This window comes from Homo sapiens, chromosome 18, assembly GCF_000001405.40.
Source record: "Homo sapiens chromosome 18, GRCh38.p14 Primary Assembly".
Lineage (NCBI taxonomy): Eukaryota > Metazoa > Chordata > Mammalia > Primates > Hominidae > Homo > Homo sapiens.
In genome coordinates this window covers 4,884,883-4,911,058 of record NC_000018.10, presented here as the reverse complement: position 1 = coordinate 4,911,058, position 26,176 = coordinate 4,884,883, and positions in this window count along the sequence as shown.

Below are 26,176 nucleotides of genomic sequence, written 5' to 3'. Positions count from 1 at the left end.
TTCTAAAACGTTTACATCAGACATATTTTGCCAATGTAATTGTTGTCTGAGTAGGGAGATAAATTCCTGGTGCTTCATACACTGCTATTTTTTCAGAATCTCCTTTCCAATGTTATTTATTTATTTATTTATTTGTTTATGAGATGGAGTCTCTCTCTGTCACCCAAGCTGGAGTGCAGTGGCACAATCTCAGGTCACTGCAACCTCCACTTCCTGGCCTCAAGTGATCCTCTCACCCCAGCATCCCATGTAACTGGGACTATAGACATGAGCTACCATGCCAGGCTAATTTTTGTATTTTTTTCTAGAGACAGGGTTTCACTATGTTGCCCAGGCTGATTTCAAACTCCTGGGCTCAAGTGTTCCACCTGCCTCAGCCTCCCAAAATGCTGGGATTACAGGTGTGAGCCAATGTGTCTGGCCTCCAAATGTTATTTTGAATTGTCTATTTCTGTCTTTAATTTTGTCAGTTTTTACTCTATGTATTTTGGGGCTCTATGGCTAGGTGCATGTATGCTTATACTTAGTATATATTCTTGATGGATTGGCCCTTTTATAATTATAAAATATTTCTCTTTGTCCAAGTTAACTTTTTTTTTGTCTTAAGGGTCGTAATTTTATCTAATATTAGTATAGCAACTGAAATCCTTTTTCATTCTTTTACTTTCAACCTATCTGTGTCTTTGAATCTAAAGTATGTCTGTTATAGACAGCAATTGTTTGTTTTTTAAAAAAAATTCAGGTTTTTTCATTTTGATTGGAGTGTTTAATCCAATATTCATTTAATAGTTACTGATAAGATAGGATTTTTGCCCATAACTTGTTATTTGTTTATGTACTTTTTTGTTCCTCTTTTTCTCCATGATTACATTCTCTTAAATAACGTTTTTTTATTGTACCATTTTAATTCCCTGTTGTAGTGGTTGCATCAGATATTACAACTAACAAATGACCATGTAACATTATAGTTCAGATGAATATCAACTTAACTTCCATAATATATATATATATATACTATATTGCTTCCTCCAACTATCATTTTTTTCATCTATAGAAAGATGGCAAGCATAAGAATACATATCAGAAGAAGTAGTATTAAGTTAAAAAAGTAATATTAAGAATTTGAGAAGTACAGAAAAGGCAAATCATTACAGACTATCATAATAGTATTTTCCCCCACAAATTCAAGTCAATATGTAGGAATTCAAGTTTATTTTGACTCAGCTTTTCAATTTAACATTCTGTTCTGAGTTTATTTTGCTTCAAATATTCTTTCTTGTGCACATATTCATCTTACTCTAGCTGAGCAATGTTACAACCTTTTACCATATATTTTTGGGCAATGTTAATTCCCCCATTAAAAAAAACAACTTCCCTTGTTCTTCTCCTACTCTTGCTCACAATAGGCACCTTCCAGCTTTCTGAGCAAAGGGGCAGCTTAATCCAGACTAATGGTGGAAAATGATCAGTGGGTATTCCTTTGAGTAGTTAAATTTCTGTTTCATGACAGTAATGAACACAAAACTACCAATTCAGTCATTATTTTATTCACTCAGTAAGCATTTATTTTGATTAAAGTTAGATACTTTATATGTCATATTTCTTTAGAAAGCAGTAAATTGTTACAGAATAATCCATTTTCTTCCTAGGAGCTTCTACTTATTCAATTTACAGAGATTCTCTAATGTGATATCAGTTAAGAGCTAATGTATTGTCTTGAGACTGAACAGCTGAGAACTAGAACCAGTTGCGCTGCTTTAGAAAACAATATTAAAAGATGAATATGAACCTATAAAGCTAAAATAACACAGAGCTGAAAGACAAAGAAATATTACGTGGCATGTTTACATGAAAGGGACAATGAGAGTTATATAAATTATTTAAAGACAATTGTGCTCAACTGCTTTTTCCTCAAAATATTACTCTGAAACGTGAATGAACTCACTGGATCTCTGAAACCACTCAACAGCAGCTATTCCCCTTTGGGCAGACTTCTTTCTGGAATTTTGGAAGAATGACTGTTGAGGTAATATCATTGGTGAGGTATTTGGGGTAGCTTTATTTTTATGGCAGAGAGGAAGGAATTGAAACTGACTGTTTTGTCAAGCTAGAATTTGAAAGGAATAAAAAGCCACTCAAATAAAAATATAAGCAACCACGTTATTACCTACGTGTAATTTTGGAAGCAGCTCTAGGATCTTGTGTGTGTGTGTGTGTGTGTGTGTGTGTGTGTGTGTTTGAGAGAGAGAGAGAGAGAGAGAAGAGAAAAGAAGTGATGATTTTTAAGTTGTTGTACTCTCCTGGTAACTCTCTTCTCTTAGGGCAGCTTAAAAGGAGACTGAAATTTGGCCCGGACCCTGATATGCAATCTGCCATGTATCCCCCACCCTGCAAAGCTGTCTCATACGTGAAATGATTTATAACCATGGCTGAGTACTTTAGGCTAGTATCAATGTAAATGGAAATATTTGAGTCTTTTCAGCTACTAATTTCTAATTGGATTCTGGCTGACACCCTGGAACAGGAGTGTCATTGTTTTTGCTTTTATGCTGTCCATGCTAATTAATGAACAGACTCTTTCATAAGTAGATTAATGGAGGTTGTCTCATTACCCAAAGTTATTTCAGGCATGACTATATCGCACCTCATTAGAGAAGCATGAATTGAGGCAGCTTTCAATTAGAAGATAAAGGCCATGTACAGTGTGGGTCTCATTTTTTTAGAATAGTTTATTTGTTTTGTTTGTGTGTGTTTCTAGAAAGGATTCTCAGCTTTTATTCCTCTGCCTGTGTTCTCATCTGTGATGAAAGAGCTTTTAAGTAAAAGTAGCCTTAATTTTCTACTGGATTTGTAATCAATCAGGTTTTGTGCAGCCCCAGATCTGTCACTTAAAAATGTATAATCTTAGTGGATTTATTTAAAGTCTCAGAGCATCCCTTTATTATTTGCAAAATTATAAAAAATACCTTGATATCTTACCTATTTAATAGAATTGAGAGATTTGTTAATAAAATCACTTAATAATCCTTATTGTCTTCCTCCTCCACAAATCCCTCTTCTGCGTGTCCCTCCTTCATGGGACTCCTGCCTTCCTTGGCTTATATGGTACTGCTCTGTTCTGGTCCTTCTTTCTACCATGTGTTCTTTCTTAATTTCAGTATTCAGTACAATGACTCATCCTTGACTTTATCATCTCCAGCAAGCTGCACCTCCAACTTCACTTCATGGACCTAGACACACCCTAATGTTATAATTTCTGTGAGCTTCTCCCATGAAAACTCTAACCTTTCATCCTTCCTACTTCTGACCAGGACCTTCTATGTTTAATCTTCTTTTAAACCTACTATCACTTCATCTGTTAATTTGATCATTTAAAATGTTTTGACTTTATGTATTAATAAATGAAAAGCTAGCCCTTCCTTCCACCCCTTCACCTACTTGCCAGATATTTAAACAAAGTCAAGAAAAGAGGATTCTTATTTAAAGAAATTAAGCAAATAATCTGAGAAACACCAGGGTAGTTATTGTTCCAGAGTAAAGTCATTCTCTCTGTGGCATTTGGGTAGATCCCATGGTAACTGACTCTCTTTGCAGGCTTTTGAAAGATGAATTCTTTGGCTCTGCTTAATTACATTTCCTTTGACTCTTGTTTGTAATTAATTCTTATTATTAAAGTAATACAATAAAAAAAATCAGAGGAATTTCTGAGGGAGAGGATTTCAACGACCATGATCTCTGGTGTTACTTTCATGGTTGTGTTACGTTATATGGCAAAAGGGAAACTATGGTGATGGGCCTTTGAAAAGAAAAGAGTTTTCTCTGACTGGTGGAGGAAGAAGTAGTTGTAAAGATTCAAAATACAAGGAAGATTCAGTGCACTGGCTTGAAGATGGAGAAAGTATGTAAGGAAGAATGTGAGTGGCCTATAGAAATTGAAACCAGGTTCCGGCTGACAGATAACAAGGGCCTCAGTCCCACAAACAAAAGGAAATAAATTCTGCCAACACACAGTGAGCTTGAAAGAGGATCCCAAGTTCAGGAGAGAGCCGTAGGCCTCATCAAAACCTTGAGTTTAGCCCAGTGACATCCTGAGCAGAGAATCCAGTCACACAATGCTCAGACTTAAGACCTACGGAACTATGAACCCATAAAGGGGTGTTGTTTTAAGCCACTAAGTTTGTGGTAATTTATTACAGCAGAATTAGAAAACAAATAAAAGACTATAATGAAAAAGGCAGAAGTTCTCTGACTTCACCAAACCTTCTCCCCAAAGCAAACACTTGTCAAAGTCAAAATAAAAATGTAGGAAATGAATCTTTAAATTTAACATTTTATTTGGGAAGAAAAAATTGGGGGCATATATGCAAACTAGGTGAAGAACAAAGAGAAGGTTGGGGGTTTTATGAAAATAAGGAATGTTATATGTGGTCCCGAGAGAATGTTTATTGGTACTAGCAAAGCTTTGGGGAGATGGTGAGCTCCAAGTGGTGTGTGACAGTGATGGCAGAATTAGTCTTAAGAGTTGCAAGTTATCTCAGCAGCTATAGATAAAACTGGTTTCAGGTTATAACAGGCAGTTGTAACGGCTGTGCTTGCAGAGAATTACATTTCTAGAGCAATGTCATGTACTCCAAGTGATTTTTGCCCCTGGTCCCATGACTCTGATTTAATTGGGTATGATAAGAATGGCACAATTTGGATGACTAACTTTCACATTTTTCCCTTTTGATCAAGATCTTTATCCAAAATCACTGATTAATCATTTTGTAGGTAAGTTTAATTGTCCCTTGATGCTGGGATAATTCTGTCCCAGTTGCTTCTGTCCGTGTTTGGGGAAATGTATGGGGGTCTATGTCAGGGACTTGGCCACATTTGAATAACAAAGAGACCAAAAGGAAAACTTTCTTTAGAGCAGGTCTACATGGAGCCCAGCATTGGGCTCTATTTTATTAGTTTTATAGGCTTCAGGAGTCATCTTGAAGTGTTGAGCTAACATTGTCTTGTTGAAAGAGTTGGCTTTACATAGATTAGACAATCAATAGCAATGAAGCTTAAAAATCATCATATAAAAATAATCAACAACAATATAATAAATCTCCCATGAATAATAGTTCACAACCATGATCCTAGGGTTGAAGGTAACTAACTAAACAGATCAGAAAGTCTAGACATATCTGATGAGACTTACTGAAGCCAAGTAGCTTATTTTTTTCTCTTATATAATTGAGTTTCTACTTTCCCAGAGGAATTTATTTATGTATCGCAAGTAGTGTTATCTACTGAACAAACACCACCTTGTTCAGCTAGTTAGTAATCTAGAACATTTTTTTAATCTAATACTACTTTAGTAAGATAATCTAGAGAAGTTTATTGAGCTGCATTGTCCTTAGCTATGGAGTCAGCTATAGATCTAATCATTAAGAACAGGTTTGTAACCATTGTTTTTAAGTGACCAACTCTGCTATTGTTTGGATCTATGTCCCCACCAAATCTCATGTTCAAATGTAATTCCCATTCTTAGTGGTGGGACCTGGTGGGAGGTGATTGGATCATGGGGGCAATTTCTTTTGAATGGTTTAGCATGATCCTCTTGGTGCCATTCTTGTGATAGTGAGTGAGTGAGTTATTGGGAGATCTGGTTTTTAAAAGTGTGTAGCACCTCCCCACTTTCTCCTTTGCTCTTTCTCCAGCCATGTGATGTGCAACTTTCCCTTTGCCATCTGCCACGATTACAAGTTTCCTGAGGCCTCCCTAGAAGCTGAGCAGATACCAGTATTATGCTTCCTGTACAGCCTGTGGAACCCTGAGCCAATTACACCTCTTTTCTTTATAAATTACCTGGTCTCAGGTATTTCTTTATAGGAATGCGAGAACAGACTAATACAAACTCTAAAGGACAAAAGCACTGATGACTAAGGCCCATCTGGCTGGATTTATGCCTCTTGGAAGGATATCTTTTTTAGTATGGTGGTGTAAGTTAACAGGTTTCAACCAATGTTTAGATTTTATTAACTTAAATCAAGTCTAGAAATATCTTAAACCACATTGGCCTTTTATTTTTTATTTATTGAGGCATGATGTCTATTTATATGGTTGTTTAATAATTCCCTGCAAATAAAAAATATTTTGGTGGGGCACAATAAGTAATCTTATCTGGGTACTTTGTATACTAAAATAGTTATTGTAGGGATTTGACAGCAGTTTTTATCTAATATTCTGTTACCCAATTATTTCATTATTGGAGACCATCAACAATTAATGGATTAATATTATATTTTTATAGCTTGTCGTTTTGTTTTTTACAATTTTTAATGTAATTTAAAAGTCTTTTTTGAGGCCCGCAGGCACAGCTAGGAGGAAACAGAATCTGAACATGTGGGTCTAAATGTTTGATTTTCTAAAAAGGACTGGACATACAATTTGAACAAATAGTTACATTAGGAACATGAGTAAAATTTGTTGTGGAATAGACTAAAGTTTTAATTATATTATAAACAGATCAGGGTTTTTGGTGACAAATCTAACAATTAGTTATATATCTTTCACCTTTTGGCAATGGACTAGGCATTATCTTTTTAGGAAAATGTAAGCATAAAATCAGAGACAAAAAAATAAAAAGAAAATGGTATAGTGGCCTAGTCTGAGCATCTTGGGACAGCAGTCTACTACAGATGCCATCTGTTTTATTTCAGGGTGAGTTTTAGTTTTAAATACCCTGTTGGGATGCCAGTCAAGTCAGGAGTAAGAGCTTTTTTAGAATAAGAGATGTGGATCTAGGAGTCAATGCTCTAGTTTCACAGCACAGAAATTGGTGAGAAGGAATTAATATAGACCATTCCAGCAAAGCTGGAGAAAATTCTTATATAGTATCTTCTCTAGTAGACAAAGTCACCAGGCTGCCGACCATGATGTTTTTAAGCCTTTGTCTTTTGGGAGTGTGCTGTGGAGAGATTGTTCTACCACTGTATGATTTTAATGTATTGCTGAAATAATTTATTTATGATACTGAAAAAATGTCTCTTTTTATCAACTGAAGCTCAGAAGCAGAGGGAGCCAAATTCATAGGATGGCCTATGACTATTTTAAATGGGTAAGTTTATGAGCTTCAAAGGGAGTGGCCCTTAGATTTAATAATACAATAGAAGAACTTTAGGCCAAGGAAATTGTAGAGTTTCTACACCTTTTGCCAACTGGGTTTCTATAGTTGTATTTGTTCATTCTGCTATGCCAGATGATTGGCAGTGGTAGGGACAATGGAAATGCTGTTAAATTGACCAAACTGAGCATTCTTGTTTTTATTACCTGGCCAGTAAAATGGGCTTCTCAATTATTATGTAGTTTAAGAGGAATTCTCCATGTGGGAACAACTTTTTCTTAAAGAATTTTGGCTACAACTGAAACAGTGTTTTGTTTAAAGGAAAAAGCCTCTAACCAATGGGAGAACATGCAAACCATTACTAGAACATATTCATATCCATGAGAAGTGGGTAACTGGATGAAATCTATTTGCCAAACCTTGAAAGTTCTATTAGGTAAATTAAAATGTGTAGGATTAGTATGTATAGGTTTCCTTGGATTAAATTTAGGGCAGGTAGCACAAACCAAAGAGGCATTTCTTTGCAGGTTTTTAAAAAATATCATCCAACCAGTATTGTTTTCTCCCAGAAACTAATGTGTTAACTTGCCCAATGGTTCAACTTTAGTTAGCAATGAATATTTCATTGATTCGAGAGAAATCGTTTGTTATCAGGTCCAAATCACAGGGATTTGTTTTGTTTGTCTAATGATTGAACCAGTAGTCATGATTTTAAAAATTTTGTTTTTTAGGTTCTGGTGTCTAATTTTGTTATCTTTGGTAATTATTTTTAGATCACCTTCTGAAGGCTCTTTTAGTGGGGCCATAACAGAGTTTTGATTAAATGGACCTTTAATAACAGCATTTTTTGAAACATTTTCAGCAAGGTTGTTTCGTTTAGCTTCTACAGAGTCTAACCTTGAATATTCGGGAATTTTGATAATAGCCAAGGCAGCAGGTCCCTGGATGGCATCTAGTAACCCTTAAATATAGGGTTTATTTTTAATTTGATCTCCAGTGGAAGCAAGAAGTCTCTTTTGTTTCCATTAGATTTCAAAATTGTGAGCAACTTTAAAGGCACACATGGTATCTGTATATATATATTAGCAGATTTTTCTTTAGTAAGGGGGCAAGCCTGAGCAAGAGCAATAAGTTCAGCCTGTTGGGTGGAAGTAGCCATAGGTAAGGGGGCTGCTTTAACAACTTCAAAGGAAGTGGTAATAACTGCGTATCCTGCACAGTAATTGCCGTTGTCATCTTTTAAATAGGATGCCTCTGTAAACCACGATAGTTCAGAGTTCTCTAGTGGAGGTTTTGTAAATCTTTTTGGGGAGTCAACGGATGATCAACCAATGTCAAAGAATCATGAGGGTCTCATCAGAAAGAAGGGGTAAGAGAGTAGCGTGCTTGAGATTATTACATCAAGAAAGAGTTATGTGAGAAGCTAGTAAAAGGAGTTCTGAGAGGTAAGAAAATGGCAGAGAGATGATGAGTAGGATGTGAATTTAGAAGAGCTTTAACAGCATGGGGAGCAAAACTCGTTAAGGGAAATCTCATATACAGTGGTAGTTAGGATAGTTTTAAAGTAAGGGAATAATCCTCAAGCTGTTGGATCTAGTTGCTGCCTGTGATCATCTAATGGGGCAGTGCTGATTTCTATGTTTTGGGGTTAGGATACCCAAGACATTTCCTTTTTGTTTATAAACAAAAAGGAAGAAAGGAAGTTGATAATTGAGGTGACCCAGGTTAGGAGGATTTAAAATAACTTATTTTAATTTTAATAAATGTAATGTCTTTCTCCATATAATGGGATCAGATTTAGATGCTTTAAGTAGGGCATGTAGAGTTCGAGCAGTCAAAGAGGTGTCCTTATCCAATTATGGCAATGTCTATTCTGGCAAGTCTAAGAAACTCTTAAACTTGTCATTTAGTTTTAGGGTTAGGGAATTATAGGACTTGTATTCATTTATTTAGGGTCAACATGTAGTCTTGCTTTAAAAATCAAATGACTCAGATATATAACTTATGTCTTAACTAGTTGGTTTTTTTTTTCTTTTTTTTTCTTTTTTTTTTTTTTTTTAGGAAAACTTATGACCCTTGGTGGTTAGAAGTTTTAATAAATGGATACTATCTTCATTGTAGGCTGCCTATCAAGGAAAACAAAGTAAATCACCTACATATTATAGTGAAAATGAACCTTGGGAAAAAGCCACATCATCTAAATCAGCTTTCAGAATTGGGAGAAGTAGGAAAGATTTTCAGCATAGCCTTGAGGCATAACAGTCCGGATATATTGTAGTTTTTCCTAGGTGAAGGTAAATAAGTATTGACTGTCTTAATCAACAGGGATGCTAAGGAAAGCATGACAGGGGTCAATTATAGTGAAAAACTTACTCTCAGTTGGTACTGAAGTCAGCAAATTATGTGCATTTGAAACTAGGAGATCATGAGGTATAACAATATTATTTACGATGTGGAGACACTGAAAAAATTTCTATCTTTAACTGTTAGATTTTCTTTCTGGGAGAATGAGAGTATCACAAGGGTTGGTACAAGAAATTATTAAGCCTTGGCCGGGCACGGTGGCTCACGCCTATAATCCCAGCGCTTTGGGAGGCCGAGGCGGGTGGATCATGAGGTCAGGAGATCGAGACCATCCTGGCTAACATGGTGAAACCCCATCTCTACTGAAAATTCAAAAAATTAGCCAGGCGTTGTGGCAGGCTCCTGAAGTCCCAGTTACTTGGGAGGCTGAGGCAGCGGAATGGCATGAACCTGGGAGGTGGAGCGTAAAGTGAACCAAGATCGAGATCGTGGCACTGCACTGCAGCCTGGGCTACAGAGCAAGATTCTGTCTCAAAAAAAAAAAAAAAAGAAATTATTAAAGTTAAGGAAGTTTTGTATTTTTTAGTGATGAGCTTTATCCCTTGTAAGGCAGATTGGCCAAAGGCATACTATTTACTATTAGGCAAGGGCTTGGTGGGATCAATTTGGATTTTGATTGGGGGCGAACTATAAATCCTACTGACATTTATTCACAGTGTAGCCCATAAAAAGACAGGTTTTCTTCCAATAAGACATTTTGGAAATCAGCAGAGATGACTTTGGCACATGAAACAGCATAACACTCATCCCAGTAAGAGAGCTGGAGCAGACCCCAACAGTAAAAAAGGATAGGTGTCCTGTATAGGTCTAAGGTAAGAAGTAATCGACTGGAACAGAAAGAATGTCAATGGTTTATTAGATACTCCCTCCATTTGAATATGTTTATTAATCTGAGGGAGGGGCTAATTGAGGTTGGTAGGATTGAGTCCTAATAAGGTTTCTCCCATGTCTATGAGAACAGTTAGAGCCTCATTGCCAATTAGAGTACTCTCGTTACGGTGATTAAAAGGGAAGATTGCAAAAAGCAAAATCAAAACAAAACAAAAACCCTGTAAATACTCAAATCTCCTTTATTGGAAAGGATAAACTGGAGAGTCATGTGAAGACTGTCTAATTTGCTTAAATTTAGAAGGGTCTTTCTTCCAGTGGCCTGGCTTGTTACAACAGCAACGATTTCCAGGAGATAGCTCTCCTGGATCAGAGTTGTGCCATTAGGGTCCCAATTGTTTACTCGTTTTTTCTTTTTTTCTGGGAACATTTATCTGTGGTTGTTAGAGATTTAGAATTTTAGTGACATTTTTAAAAAACTGGTGTTATATAGAGCATGAGCCAATTGTTTTGCCAAATTAACAAGACCAGCAGTGGGTGTTGTCTCCCATTTTAGGTGGGCTCTTTTAACAAGGTGAGAAAGTTTTTGAGAGAGACCGTTAATTAACACAGAATTAAAGGTGATTCTAGTAGAGTCAGCATCTATGGGAAGGCAAGGATTTTCTCTAAATATAACTTGGAGCCTGCTGTAATTGTTATGGACTGATTTATTTGGCTCTTGGGTGCAAGTTTAAATTTTTTTCTGGTCTATGGCTTTAGGAAATGTCTTGAGGATGGCCCTATATAAATTTCTTGTAAGTTTTGGAGCCTGCCCCCAATATTGTAGATCAGATTCTGGGGAGATGAGGGCAGTTTTTGCTAAATCCCATTGTGAATGGGTTCAATCTGCTTTTGCCATCTAGTGTTGGGCCTGGCCTTCTTTCAGAAGTATGCAAACAAGTTGGTAAAGATTGGAGAAACTGGGCTGGTAAGCCTGAACTGTAGTGTTAAATTCATCAGCAAAATAATGCCGGTTTTCAATAACTTTAGAGAATTCCTTTTGGCTATAGCATGGAGTTCAGCTTTAGCCGAAAAGACATAAGAAATCTGAAGAATGTCAGGATTGTTAGAGGGCCTGATCTGAAAGGGGCAAGTATTTACAGGTTGAGGTTAGGAAGCTGAAATAGGCGTGTTAGTGGAGAAAGATGTATCAGAATAGGAGGGAAGTTTGGAAAGGTTTGAGAGGAGATATGGTAGATGGCACTTGAGATACAGAAAGATTTGGGGCTTCTAAAGCCTTTTTTTCCTCTTTGAACTTTTTATTTCTCCCATTAATTTAGAGACAGTGTTTTGGAGTTCAATAAATTTTATTTTATTTTATCTTGTTTTATTTTAAGACGGAGTCTCACTCTGTTGCCCAGGCTGGAGTGCAATGGCGTGATCTCTGCTCACTGCAACCTCTGCCTCCCAGGTACAAGCGAGTCTCCGGCCTCAGACTCCTGAGTAGCTGGGATTACAGGCGCCTGCCACCATGCCCGGCTAATTTTTGTATTTTTTAGTAGAGACAGGGTTTCACCATGTTGGTCAGGCTGGTCTTGAACTCCTGACCTCAGGCGATCCACCCACCTTGGCCTCCCAAAGTGCTGGGATTACAGAGGTGAGCCACTGCACCCAGCCCACAAATCTTAATTACTGATTTCATTTTGAAGCCTCGAAGTGCTATTTATATTGTATTTCCATTGCTTAGAGTTGCAGTTTTCTGATTATTTCTGAGATAAACTTTTAAAGAGGTCAAAAGAACCCCAGAAAGGCCATGTTAATTTCAAGTCATCTTTTATTGAGATAAGAATACATGACAATGGACCATAATGCTAAACATATAACTGGCTAGAGTTCCCAATGGGAGGTTATTTTGGCATGCTTTTGAATTTGAGAGCCCATCGTAATTCAATTTTAAAGCCAAATGCACAAAGGCCAATCAAATACAAGTGCTGAGTACTAGAAAGCCAAATTAAAATATAAGCACTGACAACACAAAGAATTTTCTTTCTTTTCTTTTATATATATATATATATTTTATTATACTTTAAGTCCTAGGGTACATGTGCACAACGTGCAGATTTGTTACGTATGTATACTTGTGCCATGTTGGTGTGCTGCACCCATTAACTCGTCATTTATATTAGGTATATCTCCTAATGCAATCCCACCCCGCTCCCCCGACCCCACAACAGGCCCCAGTGTGTGATGTTCCCCTTCCTGTGTCCAAGTGTTCTCATTGTTCAATTCCCACCTATGAGTGAGAACATGCGGTGTTTGGTTTTTTGTCCTTGCAATAGTTTGCTGAGAATGATGGTTTCCATCTTCATCCATGTCCCTACAAAGGACATGAACTCATCATTTTTTATGGCTGCATCATATTCCATGGTGTATATGTGCCACATTTTCTTAATCCAGTCTATCATTGTTGGACATTTGGGTTGGTTCCAAGTCTTTATGAGTAGTGCTGCAATAAACATACATGTGCATGTGTCTTTACAGCAGCATGATTTATATTCCTTTGGGTATATACCCAGTAATGGGATGGCTGGGTCAAATGGTATTTCTAGTTCTAGATCCCTGAGGAATCGCCACACTGTCTTCCACAACAGTTGAACTAGTTTACAGTCCCACCAACAGTGTCAAAGTGTTCCTATTTCTCCACATCCTCTCCAGCACCTGTTGTGTCCTGACTTTTTAATGATCACCATTCTAACTGGTGTGAGATGATATCTCATTGTGGTTTTGATTTGCATTTCTCTGATGGCCAGTGATGATGAGCATTTTTTCATGTGTCTTTTGGCTGCATAAATGTCTTCTTTTGAAAAGTGTCTGTTCATATCCTTCGCCCACTTTTTGATGGGGTTGTTTGTTTTCTTTCTTGTAAATTTATTTGAGTTCTTTGTAGATTCTGGATATTAGCCCTTTGTCAGATGAGTAGATTGCAAAAATTTTCTCCCATTTTGTAGGTTGCCTGTTCACTCTGATGGTGGTTTCTTTTGCTGTGCAGATGCTCTTTAGTTTAACTAGATCCCATTTGTCAATTTTGGCTTTTGTTGCCATTGCTTTTGGTGTCTTAGACAAAGTCCTTGCCCATGCCTATGTCCTGAATGGTATTGCCTAGGTTTTCTTCTGGGGTTTTTATGGTTTTAGGTCTAACATTTAAGTCTTTAATCCATCTTGAATGAATTCTTGTATAAGGTGTAAGGAAGGGATCCAGTTTCAGCTTTCTACATATGGCTAATCTGTTTTCCCAGCACCATTTGTTAAATAGGGAATCCTTTCCCCATTTCTTGTTTTTGTCAGGTTTGTCAAAGATCAGATAGTTGTAGATGTGTGGTATTATTTCTGAGGGCTCTGTTCTGTTCCATTGATCTATATCTCTGTTTTGATACCAGTACCATGCTGTTTTGGTTACTGTAGCCTTGTAGTATAGTTTGAAGTCAGGTAGCATGATGCCTCCAGCTTTGTTCTTTTGGCTCAGGATTGACTTGGCAATGCGGGCTCTTTTTTGGTTCCATATGATCTTTAAAGTAGTTTTTTCCAATTCTGTGAAGAAAGTCATTGACAGCCTGATGGAGATGGTATTGAATCTATAAATTACCTTGGGCAGTATGGCCATTTTCACGATATTGATTCTTCCTATCCATGAGCATGGAATGTTCTTCCATTTGTTTGTGTCCTCCTTTATTTCATTGAGCAGTGGTTTGTAGTTCTCCTTGAAAAGTTCCTTCATATCCCCCATAAGTTGGATTCCTAGGTATTTTATTCTCTTTGAAGCAATTGTGAATGGAGTTCAGTCATGATTTGGCTCTTTGTTTGTCTGTTATTGGTGTATAGGAATACTTGTGATTTTTGCATGTTGATTTTGTATCCTGAGACTTTGCTGAAGTTGCTTATCAGCTTAAGGAGATTTTGGGCTGAGATGATGGGGTTTTCTAAATATACAATCATGTCATCTGCAAACAGGGACGATTTGACTTTCTCTTTTCCTAACTGAATATGCTTTATTTCTTTCTCCAGCCTGATTGCCCTGGCCAGAACTTCCAACACTATGTTGAATAGAAGTGGTGAGAGAGGGCATCCCTGTCTTTTGCCAGTTTTCAAAGGCAATGCTTCCAGTTTTTGCCCATTTAGTATGATATTGGCTGTGGGTTTGTCATAAACAACTCTTATTATTTTGAGATACGTCCCATCAATACCTAATTTATTGAGAGTTTTTAGCATGAAGTGTTGTTGAATTTTGTTGAAGGCTTTTTCCGCATCTATTGAGATAATCATGTGCTTTTTTGTCTTTGGTTCTGTTTATATGATGGATTACGCTTATTGATTTATGTATGTTGAACCAGCCTTGCATCCAAGGGATGAAGCTGAATTGATTGTGATGGATAAGCATTTTGATGTGCTGCTGGATTTGGTTTACCAGTATTTTATTGAGGATTTTTGCATTGGTGTTCATCTGGAATATTGATCTAAAATTCTCTTTTTTTGTTGTGTCTCTGCCAGGCTTTGGTATCAGGATGATGCTGGCCTCATAAAATGAGTTAGGGAGGATTCCCTCTTTTTCTATTGATTGGAATAGTTTCAGAAGGAATGGTACCAGCTCCTCCTTGTATCTCTGGTAGAATTCGGCTGTGAATCCATCTGGTCCTGGACTTTTTTTGGTTGGTAAGCTATTAGTTATTGCCTCAATTTCAGAACCTATTATTGGTCTATTCAGGGATTCAACTTCTTCCTGGTTTAGTCTTGGGAGAGTGTATGTGTACAGGAATTTATCCATTTCTTCTAGATTTTCTAGTATTTGCATAGAGGTGTTTATAGTATTCTCTGATGGTAGTTTGTATTTCTGTGGGATTGGTGATGATATCCCCTTTATCATTTTTTATTGCGTCTATTTGATTCTTCTTTCTTTTCTTCTTTATGAGTCTTGCTAGTGGTCTATCAATTTTGTTGATCTTTTCAAAAAACCAGCTCCTGGATTCATTGATTTTTTGAAGGGTTTTTTGTGTCTCTATCTCCTTCAGTTCTGCTCTGATCTTAGTTATTTCTTGCCTTCTGCTAGCTTTTGAATGTGTTTGCGCCTGCTTCTCTAGTTATTTTAATTGTGACGTTAGGGTGTCAATTTTAGATCTTTCCTGCTTTCTTTTGTGGGCATTTGGTGCTATAAATTTCCCTCTACATACTGCTTTAAATGTGCCCCAGAGATTCTGGTATGTTGTGTCTTTGTTCTCATTGGTTTCAAAGAACATCTTTATTTCTGCCTTCATTTCATTATGTACCCAGTAGTCATTCAGGAGCAGATTGTTCAGTTTCCATGTAGTTGAGAGGTTTTGAGTGAGTTTCTTAATCCTGAGTTCTAGTTTGATTGCACTATGGTCTGAGAGACAGTCTGCTATAATTTCTGTTCTTTTACATTTGCTGAGGAGTGCTTTACTTCCAACTATGTGGTCAATTTTGGAATAGGCATGGTGTGGTGCTGAGAAGAATGTATATTCTGTTGATTTGGGGTGGAGAGTTCTGTAGATGTCTATTAGGTCTGCTTGGTGAAGAGCTGAATTCAATTCCTGGATATCCTTGTTAACTTTCTGTCTCATTGATCTGTCTAATGTTGACAGTGGGATGTTAAAGTCTCCGATTATTATTGTGTGGGAGTCTAAGTCTCTTTCTAGGTCTCTAAGGACTTGCTTTATGAATCTGGGTGCTCCTGTATTGGGTGCATGTATATTTAGGATAGTTAGCTCTTCATGTTGAATTGATCCCTTTACCATTATGTAATGGCCTTCTTTGTCTCTTTTGATCTTTGTTGGTTTCAAGTCTGTTTTATCAGAGACTAGGATTGCAACCCCTGCCTTTTTTTGTTTTCCATTTGCTTCTTAGATCTTCCTCCATCCCTTTATTTTGAGCCTATGCGTGTCACTGCATGTGAGATGGGTTTCCTGAATACAGCACACGGATGGGTCTTGACTCTTTATCCAATTTGCCAATCTGTGTCTTTTAATTGGAGCATTTAGCCCATTTACATTTAAGGTTAATATTGTTATGTGTGAATTTGATCCTGTTATTATGATTTTAGCTGGTTATTTTGCTCCTTAGTTGATGCAGTTTCTTCCTAGCCTCGATGGTCTTTACAATTTGGCATGTTTTTGCAGTGGCAGTACCAGTTGTTCCTTTCCATGTTTAGTGCTTCCTTCAGGAGCTCTTGTAAGGCAGGCCTGGTGGTGACAAAATCTCTCAGCATTTGCTTGTCTGTAAAGGATTTTATTTCTCCTTCACTTATGAAGCTTAGTTTGGCTGGATATGAAATTCTGGGTTGAAAATTCTTTTCTTTAAGAATGTCGAGTATTGGCCCCCACTCTCTTCTAGCTTGTAGAGTTTCTGCCGAGAGATTCGCTGTTAGTCTGATGGGCTTCCCTTTGTGGATAACCCGACCTTTCTCTCTGGCTGCCCTTAATATTTTTTCTTTCATTTCAACTTTGGTGAATCTGAGAATTATGTGTCTTGGAGTTGCTCTTCTCGAGGAGTATCTTTGTGGTGTTCTCTCTATTTCCTGAATTTGAATGTTGGCCTGCCTTGCTAGGTTGGGGAAGTTCTCCTGGATATTATCCTGAAGAGTGTTTTCCAACTTGGTTCCATTCTCCCTGTCACTTTCAGATACACCAATCAGACGTAGATTTGGTCTTTTCACATAGTCCCATATTTCTTGGAGGCTTTGTTCATTTCTTTTCATTCTTTTTTCTCTACGCTTCTCTTCTTGCTTCATTTCATTCATTTGATCTTCAATCACTGTTACCCTTTCTTCCAGTTGATTGAATTGGCTATTGAATCTTCTGCATTAGTCACATAGTTCTCATGCCATGGTTTTCAGCTCCATCAGGTCCTTTAAGGACTTCTTTGCATTGGTTATTCTAGTTAGCCATTTGTCTAATCTTTTTTCAAGGTTTTTAACTTCTTTGCCATGGGTTTGAACTTCCTCCTTTAGTTCGGAGAAGTTTGATTGTCTGAAGCCTTCTTCTCTCAACTCTTCAAAGTCATTCTCCATCCAGCTTTGTTCCATTGCTGGTGAGGAGCTGCATTCCTTTGGAGGAGGAGAGGCGCTCTGATTTTTAGAATTTTCAGTGTTTCTGTTCTGTTTTTTCACCATCTTTGTGGTTTTATCTACCTTTGGTCTTTGATGATGGTGATGTACATCACCATCATCATGGTGTGAGGTGTCAGTATGCCCCTACTGGGGGGTGCCTCCCAGTTAGGCTACTCGGGGGTCAGGGACCCACTAGAGGAGGCAGTCTGTCCGTTCTCAGATCTCAGACTCCATGCTGGGAGAACCAGTACTCTTTTCAAAGCTGTCAGACAGGGACATTTAAGTCTGCAGAGGTTTCTGCTGCCTTTTGTTCAGCTATGCCCTGCCCCCAGAGGTGGAGTCCACAGAGGCAGGCAGGCATCCTTGCGCTGCAGTGGGCTCCACCCAGTTGGAGCTTCCTGGCCACTTTGTTTACCTACTCAAGCCTCAGCAATGGCAGGTGCCCCTCCCCCAGCCTCACTGCCATCTTGCAGTTCAATCTCAGACTGCTGTGCTAGCAACGAGTGAGGCTTCATGGGTGTGGCACCCTCCAAGGCATGCACGGGATATAATCTCCTGGTGTACCATTTGCTAAGACCATCAGAAAAGCACAGTGTTAGGGTGGGAGTGACCCTATTTTCCAGTTGCCGTCTGTCACAGCTTTGCTTGGCTATGAAAGGGAATTCACTGACCCCTTGTGCTTCCCAGGTGAGGTGATGCCTCATCCTGCTTTGGCTCATACTCAGTGCGCTGCACCCACTGTCCTGCACCCACTGTCCGACAAGCCCCAGTGAGATGAACCTGGTACCTCAGCTGGAAATGCAGAAATCACCCGTCTTCTGTGTCGCTCATGCTGGGAGCTGTAGACTGGAGCAGTTACTATTCAGCCATCTTGCTCTTTAGTGAACAAAGCATTTTCTTACCAGGAAGCATGAAAAGCTATCTCCAACTGAAGGAAAAAATTCCCTCATCAAATCTCAAGGTATCAAACCTCACAGCCAAGGTCAACAGGAGGAAAATAACCCTCTCCAAAAGGAGATCCTCCAAATGGGAGGAGGAAATAATAACTTTCTTTAAACAGGAGAGGAAAAGTCCCCTCCCTAACTGAATCCCATATGAAAAAATCTCAAACCAAATTTGGGAGTTCTCTCCAAGAGAGACTCAACAGGGGGAGAAGAGATAACCTGTGAAAGTTGGGGGAAGGGGCTCAAAGTAACCAATGCAGGTACCTCATGCCGTAGTTCCAAGGGCCTGTGATTATTCCCAAGGGAAATCAGCTTTGGATCCCACTTCTGACACCATGTATATAAAAATGTAGAAACAAATATTTGAATTTAACATTTTATGTGGAATGAAAAAATTGTGATTTGGGGCATATACACAGACTAAGTCATCGTCTGTGTATCTAAAGAACAAAGAGAAGTTTGTGAATTATAAAAAAGAGAAATGTTATGTGTAGTCTTGAGAAAATGTTTGATAGTATTAGTAAAGCTCTAGAGAGCTGGCAAGTTCCAATTAGTGGGTAATGGTGGTTGGCAAAAATTAGTTTTAGAGTTTCAGCAAGTTATTTCAGTAGCTATAGATAAAACTGGTTGTAGGTTAAAACAGTTTTAGCTTCCTGACTTTAGAGAATTACATTTCTAGATGAATATTAGGTATCCTAAGTGTTTTTTCCCCTGGTTCCCTAACTATAATTTAGTTGAGTATGAAAAGGATGACCCAATTCAGATGATCAACACTCACACACTTCACACTTTTGTAAGCATTAGATTTCATACTTTTACCCCTTCTGGTATGTTTTATTTTACATTAATAGACCATGCTTATAGTACTGTTTATAAATTTATCTGATTTATAATTTTTTATTGTGGTCAGAACATTTCACATGATATCAACCCTGTTAACAAATTTTTAAGTGTATAATATGGTCTTGTTACCTATAGGTACAAGTTCATACAGCAGAGCTCTAGAACTTATTCATCTTACATACCTGAAACCATACACCCATTAAACAACAACTTCCCATTCCCTTTGAGCCTTTGGCAACCTCTTACTCTCTGCTTTTATGAGTTTGACTATTTTAGATACCGCTTATAAGTGGAATAAGGCAACCTGGGCAACATGGTGAAACCCTCTCTCTACAAAAAAAAAAAAAAAAAGCCAGGTATGATGTCATATGCCTGTAGTCCCAGGTACCTGGGAGGCTGAGGTGGGAGGATCACTTGAGCACAGGAGGCAGATGTTGCAATGAGCTGAGATCATGCCACTGAACTCCAGCCTGGGTGACAGAGTGAGACCCTGTCTCAAAAATAAAAATGAACGAAAAAACAAACAAATATACCTAAAACAAACAAACAAAATAAGTGGAATAAGGCAGTATTTGTCATTTTGTGTCTAGCTTATTTTACTTAGCATAATGTTTTCAGGATTTAGTCATGTTGTAGCATGTATCAGAATTCCATTTCTCTTTAAGGCTGAATACTATTCCATTGTGTGTATATATCACATTTTATTTATCCATTCATCTGTCAATGGACATTTAAGTTGTTTCTACATTTCCAATTTTAACCTGCCTCCCCTACCATCATAGCAGCAAACATCACTTGATAAGTATTAGAGATACTTTCTGAAGATACAAGAAAGTGAGACAAGTGGAACTATGAAGTCTCCTAGTTAAAAACTGTTTTTCCTAGAGAACTCAAATACATACACACACACAGAGAGTTTCTTTTGGACTTTGTGCAAGTACATCACCTTCTTTGGGATTTGGAAAAGCACTCAGAATTATCATTATGAAATACCTGAGGCATTTCTTCTCAGAATTATAGCCCGAAAGATGTTGGTCTACCTCTATGAATATCTTCTTCTATGTCTAATCTCAATGTTTGGATAAATACCTAATTTACATCATTAATCCATGTCAAGCAATGCAAATGTGAAGGATTCCAGATTTATTACTATAAAATTTTAAAGATAAAACCAAATGTAAGTGACCATCCAACTGTTCAATCCTAATAAAACAGATAAAATAAAACTGTAAAAGTTTTTTACTTGGAGAACCAAAGAAAGTGCAAGAAGTATGTACTGATTTTAAATCTCTGCTCTTAATCTTGAGTATTACCTATAGCTTATCTAAATTCTAAATCAGCAATTCTTTTTTTCAGTACTCATCACTTGCCCTCAGAATATTTTCATAACTTTATAGCTGTAGTGTGAGCTTCTGGAAGAAATGCTGTTTCATTTTGATCTGCAACACTCAAATGGGTCATGATGTCAGGACTCTGTACAGCGCATGGCAGCTATGGGCCCCGAACCCAACCCCTATCTTGATAAAGAGCCTTCTGAATTCAGAATTGCTCTGAATGCTGCAAAACACCATTTATGTAATTGCAATTGAAATAAATCCTAAAGTCTTACAATGTAGACCAGATTAAATGCCCCAACCCTTATCTTCTAGCTTCTCAAAACTACTTTTAAAATGTTCTTAAATTTCACAAAGATTAAATGGGCTATACTGAGATTTTCACACACAGAAATAGCATCTATTAGTAATGACTGCTAAGAGAATAATCACACTGAAACAGGCAGAAACTTTGACTTACACAGAATCATTAATGTGACATTTAAAAAACATTTTTGGTCTTCAAGCACCAAGACCAAATTAACTTATAATCATTGGTTTCATCAACATAGAAAGGTAGAAGTTAAATGACTCAATTTGGTCAAATAAGTTGAAACAAAATATTTTATCATTATACTAGTTCTAGTGCAATGCCCACCTATTAAGCATTAAAGATTTATCTGTTAGGACTTTGAAATAAAGACCAAAACACAAAATAGTGTGAAGGTTAATCTTTTAAATGGACAGTGTTATCTAGGATTATGGCATAATCAGTAAAAATTATAAAATATTTACTGATATATACTGTATAAAATGTAGTTTCACATAGTGTTTTAGAAAAACATCCCAAAGTTTAGACAATGATCCTGACTAGAGAGTTGATAATCTATTCAGAAAGGCAATTTTAAATTACTTTTTAAATAACGATAATGTATCTGGAAGTGACTATGTGTTTGACATGAATCACTCAGCTAAACATTTTATAGTCTCTACATATAAGATATTTTAGATTTTTTAAAATGTTGTCAAACACTTAAAGTAATAAAGAAAGTAGTAAATGAAAATTTTAAAATAAAAACTGAGTCTCTGCTGAGAAAACAGAAAAGTCAGTGAAAGGAGCTTCTGATATTTACCTTGACATTCAGAACATCTCGACGACCTGAAGAAAGAAACGGAGGCAAATTAGTATCAGTAGAGAGTTTATTTGGGCCAAGGTTGAAGACTGCAGCTCAAAAAACACTGGGAAATACTCTGGAGAACAAAGGAGAGGCTTGTTTTCAGAGAAAAAAGGACAAATCAGGAGAAGGGTTGATTACAGAAGTTGCTTTTCAGGAATTCTCATTGGTTTACAGAAGTAACATTAATTAGTGATTGGCTATACATTATTAAACTGTGAGGTATGAGATATGACATCCAGTGTATGGCATTGTTAAGTTAATTTACAGCTACTTGACATCAGTTAGTGTAGAGTTCATGTAGCAAATAGCTTCAAGAGGTGATTACTTAGCTTAAAGGAGAAGTAAGACACGACTAATGTCACATTTCAATGCCTCTCTGGACCTGATAATTTAAAGGGGACTCATATTCATCAGATAACAAATTTCTTTTCTTTCTCAGTCTATTATGGCGAATATTCTCCCACATCATACACAGCAGGTCCTCAAAACACTCTCTGTAGCATGAGGGTGTGTTATTATAGAGCTACTTTCATTACACAGGTCACTGGCTTCCTAGAGAGTGTGATAGCAGCTGTAAATCTTTTGCCTAGAAATGTATCCAGACACACAGATCCATGAAGTTTGCATACTAATAACTCCCTTCACGAGTCTGTGATCTCTCATGGACTCTACAGTCAGCAGGAACACCTCTAGGACACTTTGAGAACTGCCTTTGAAAAACAAGCATCTGGTGATCACAAAAACATAGATTTAACAACCCACATTCATAACCCTGCTTTTTTTTTAAATGAAGACTTTATCAAAAACAACCACCTGCCTATGCCAAATGTCTTATAGATTAACAAACCACCCTAAGGATACCAGCTGTGGCACCACTGTGGTATGTGGGGCCCATAAATAATCACTGATGATGATTAATGGAGGAATTAATCCCCAGGAAGTAGTGTTTAGGCTCGATTTCATAGACACTGGACAGGTTGAGTAGGAGGAGACCGGATTAGCTTTAATTGACTCTTCATTTTCGACCTGCTCACAGGCTTTTAAAACATAAATCAACCCTCAGCACATTAATCAAGTTTGAAACACTCCTATTCAAGAAACATCCGTCAAAAGTCATTCCTTTAATATTTCTAAAAATTACACAAATCAAGTTAGGATGTTGGAAAACCTGGGTAATAATCATTTATATTCATTAATTAATGTTTTATAAAAAATGCTCACGTTATCTCCCTATATTCTAATATTATATTCTTATACTAATTCGGTAAATAATGTATTGAAGGTCTAGTTTTATCTTGCCATTAAAAAAAAAGCACACACATAGAAATGTCAAATTATCTTCCCAAAGTCATACAGCTAAGTACAGGAAGAGCTGAGACAATTAAACAGATTTTCCTTTTCTTTCTCACAGATATCAAGTTCATTGCACACACCAAGTTAAGGAGCCATAGTGATAAACATTAGGCAACCAAAAAGCTATATTAGAAAATATCTATGGTAACAAAAACAAGTTGGCTTATTTTTTAAATTTTTTTCCTCCCACCTATTTGAAAATGCCCTCATCAAGACAAAACGTCATGATATCCATGTTAGAGTATCACTGTGAATTTAGTCCTCTACAAACACTGCTTGTAGATGTGCTCTGGCTATAACAAAACGAGAAATAAATGGTGACCTCACAGAAATGTATTGTGTGTGCTACAGGTGAAATCAATTTCAGGTTCATGGAAAAGTATCCAAGAACTCTCAATCCTGTAGAAGCCTTTCTGTTTACTGTAAATTGTTAATACATTTTAGGCCTCCATGAGGCTTTTCTATATTGCAACCATAGCTTATCAGGTTATGCAATAGAAAATTCCATTCAATAAATTGGATTTACTTCCTATAAGCAGGCTTCATCAACTAGAAAATGAGCTAGTTCAGGAAACATAATTCAGAATTAAGATATTTATGAAAACTAAGTGCTTTCCCCTGTTGTCTTTTAACTTTACACATCTGTGCAAGCAGAACTATGATAATGGCTCTGGGACAAAATTCCCTTGTCTTATATTTCTTAAAGTGCTTTATAAAGCACGCATTCACTTAGTATTTAATCTGTCAAAACTTGTTTGGGGACATCTCCACTGGCAAATTCTAGGTATGATGGGGATCAGGAGAACAGGGTTTCCTACAGAAGTACAGAGTATGACTAATTCTTGAAGGATCATCTGAGCTTGTTTAGGGGTAAAAGTAGTTTATAAGCAATAATTAGAAATTCATAAATAGTATCACATGCTAGACCACTATTATAAATAATGAATTAAGTAAGGGATGAATGTGGGTTGCTTTTACTTGAAAGTTCAGCTTTAACTTTTAAGATTTTTTTTCTCATTGTGAAATCAGTAGATGACTGAGATTCTCCAGAGAAACAGAACTAACAAGAGATAGAGAAAGAGAATGGAGAGGCTCACAAGTCTGAATTCAGACAACAGTTTATGTTTCAGTCTTGAGTTCATAATCTGCAGGCTGAGCACTCAGGTGGGATTTCCATGTTGCAGTTTTGAGGCAGAATTCCTTCTTCAAGAAATCTCAGTGTTTGCTCTTAAGGCCTCCAGCTGAATGAATGAAGTCCACCCACTTCAGGGAGCATAAGAAGCCCACCCACTTCAGGGAGCATAAGAAGCCCACCCACTTCAGGGAGCGTAATATACCCAAAGTCTACTGATTTAAATATTAATCACATTTAAAGTAGAACCTTGAGGTTGCTTCTAAGATGGCCGAATAGGAATAGCTCCAGTCTGCAGCTCCTGGGGAGATTGGCAGAGAAGACGGGTGATTTCTGCATTTCCAACTGAGGTACCTGGTTCATCTCATTGGGACTGGTTGGACAGTGGGTGCAGTCCATGGAGGGCGAGCCAAGGGGGGTGGGGCGTCGCCTCATCTGGGAAGCACAAGGGGTCAGGGGATTTCCCTTTCCTAGCCAAGGGAAGCCGTGACAGGCTGTACCTGGAGAAACAGTACACTCCTGACCAAATACTGTGCTATTCCCAGAGTCTTAGCAACTGGCAGACTAGGAGATACCCTCCCATGCCTGGCTTGGCAGGTCCCACACCCATGGAGCCTTGCTCACTGCTAGTGCAGCAGTCTGAGATCGACATGCAATGCTGCAGCTGGAATGGGGGAGGAGAGCCCACCATTGCTGAGGTTTGAGTAGCTCACAGTGTAAGCAAAGAGGCCCAGAAACACGAACTGGGCAGAGCCCACTGAAACTCAGCAAGGCCTGCTGCCTCTATGGATTCCACCTCTGCGGGCAGGGCATAGTAGAACAAAAGGCAGCCGACCGCTTCTGCAGACTTAAACGTTCCTGTCTGACAGCTCTTAAGAGAGCAGTGGTTCTCTCAGCATGGCGTTCAAGCTCCAAGAACGGACAGACTGCCTCCTCAAGTGGGTCCCTGACCCCCCTGTAGCCTGACTGGGAAACATCTCCCAGTAGGGGCCAACAGACACTTCAAACAGGCAGGTGCCCCTCTGGGACAAAGCTTCCAGAGGAAGGATCAGGCAGCCATATTTGCTGTACTGCAGGCTCCGCTGGTGATACCCAGGTAAACAGCATCTGGAATGGACCTCCAGCAAATTCCAACAGACCTGCAGCTAAGGGGTCTGACTGTAAGAAGGAAAACAAACAAACAGAAAGGAAAAGCATCAACATCAACAAAAGGGCATCCACACCAAAACCCCATCTGTAGGTCACCAACAGCAAAGACCAAAGGTAGATAAAACTACAGCGATGGGGAGAAACCAGAGCGGAAAAGCTGAAAATTCCAAAAAACAGAGGACTTCTTCTCCTCCAAAGGATTGCAACTCCTCACCAGCAAGAGAACAAAACTAGACAGAGAATGAATTCGATGAGTTGACAGAAGTAGGCTTCAGAAGGTCGGTAATAACAAACTTCTCTAAGCTAAAGGAACATGTCCTAATCCATAGCAAGGAAGATAAAAACCTTAAAAAAAGGTAAGATGGATGGCTAACTAGAATAAACAGTGTAGAGAAGACCTTCAATGAACTGACTGAGCTGAAAACCCTGGCACGAGAACTTCGTGACGCATACACGAGCTTCAGTAGCCAATCTGATCAAGTAGAAGAAAGGATATCAGTGATTGAAGATCAAATTAATGAAATAAAGCAAGAAGACAAGATTAGAGAAAAAAGAGCAAAAAGAAATAAACAAAGCCTCCAAGAAATATGGGACTATGTGAAAAGACCAAATCTACATTTGATTGGAATACTGGAAAGTGACGGGGAGAATGGAACCAAGTTAGAAAACACTCTTCAGGATATTATCCAGGAGAACTTCTCTAACCTAGCAAGGCAGGCCAACATTCAAATTCAGTAAATATGTAGAACAAAGATACTCCTTGAGAAGAGCAACCCCACAACACATAATTTTCAGATTCACCAAGGTTGAAATGAAGGAAAAAATGTTAAGGGCAGACAGAGAGAAAGGTCGAATTACCCACAAAGGGAACCCCATCAGA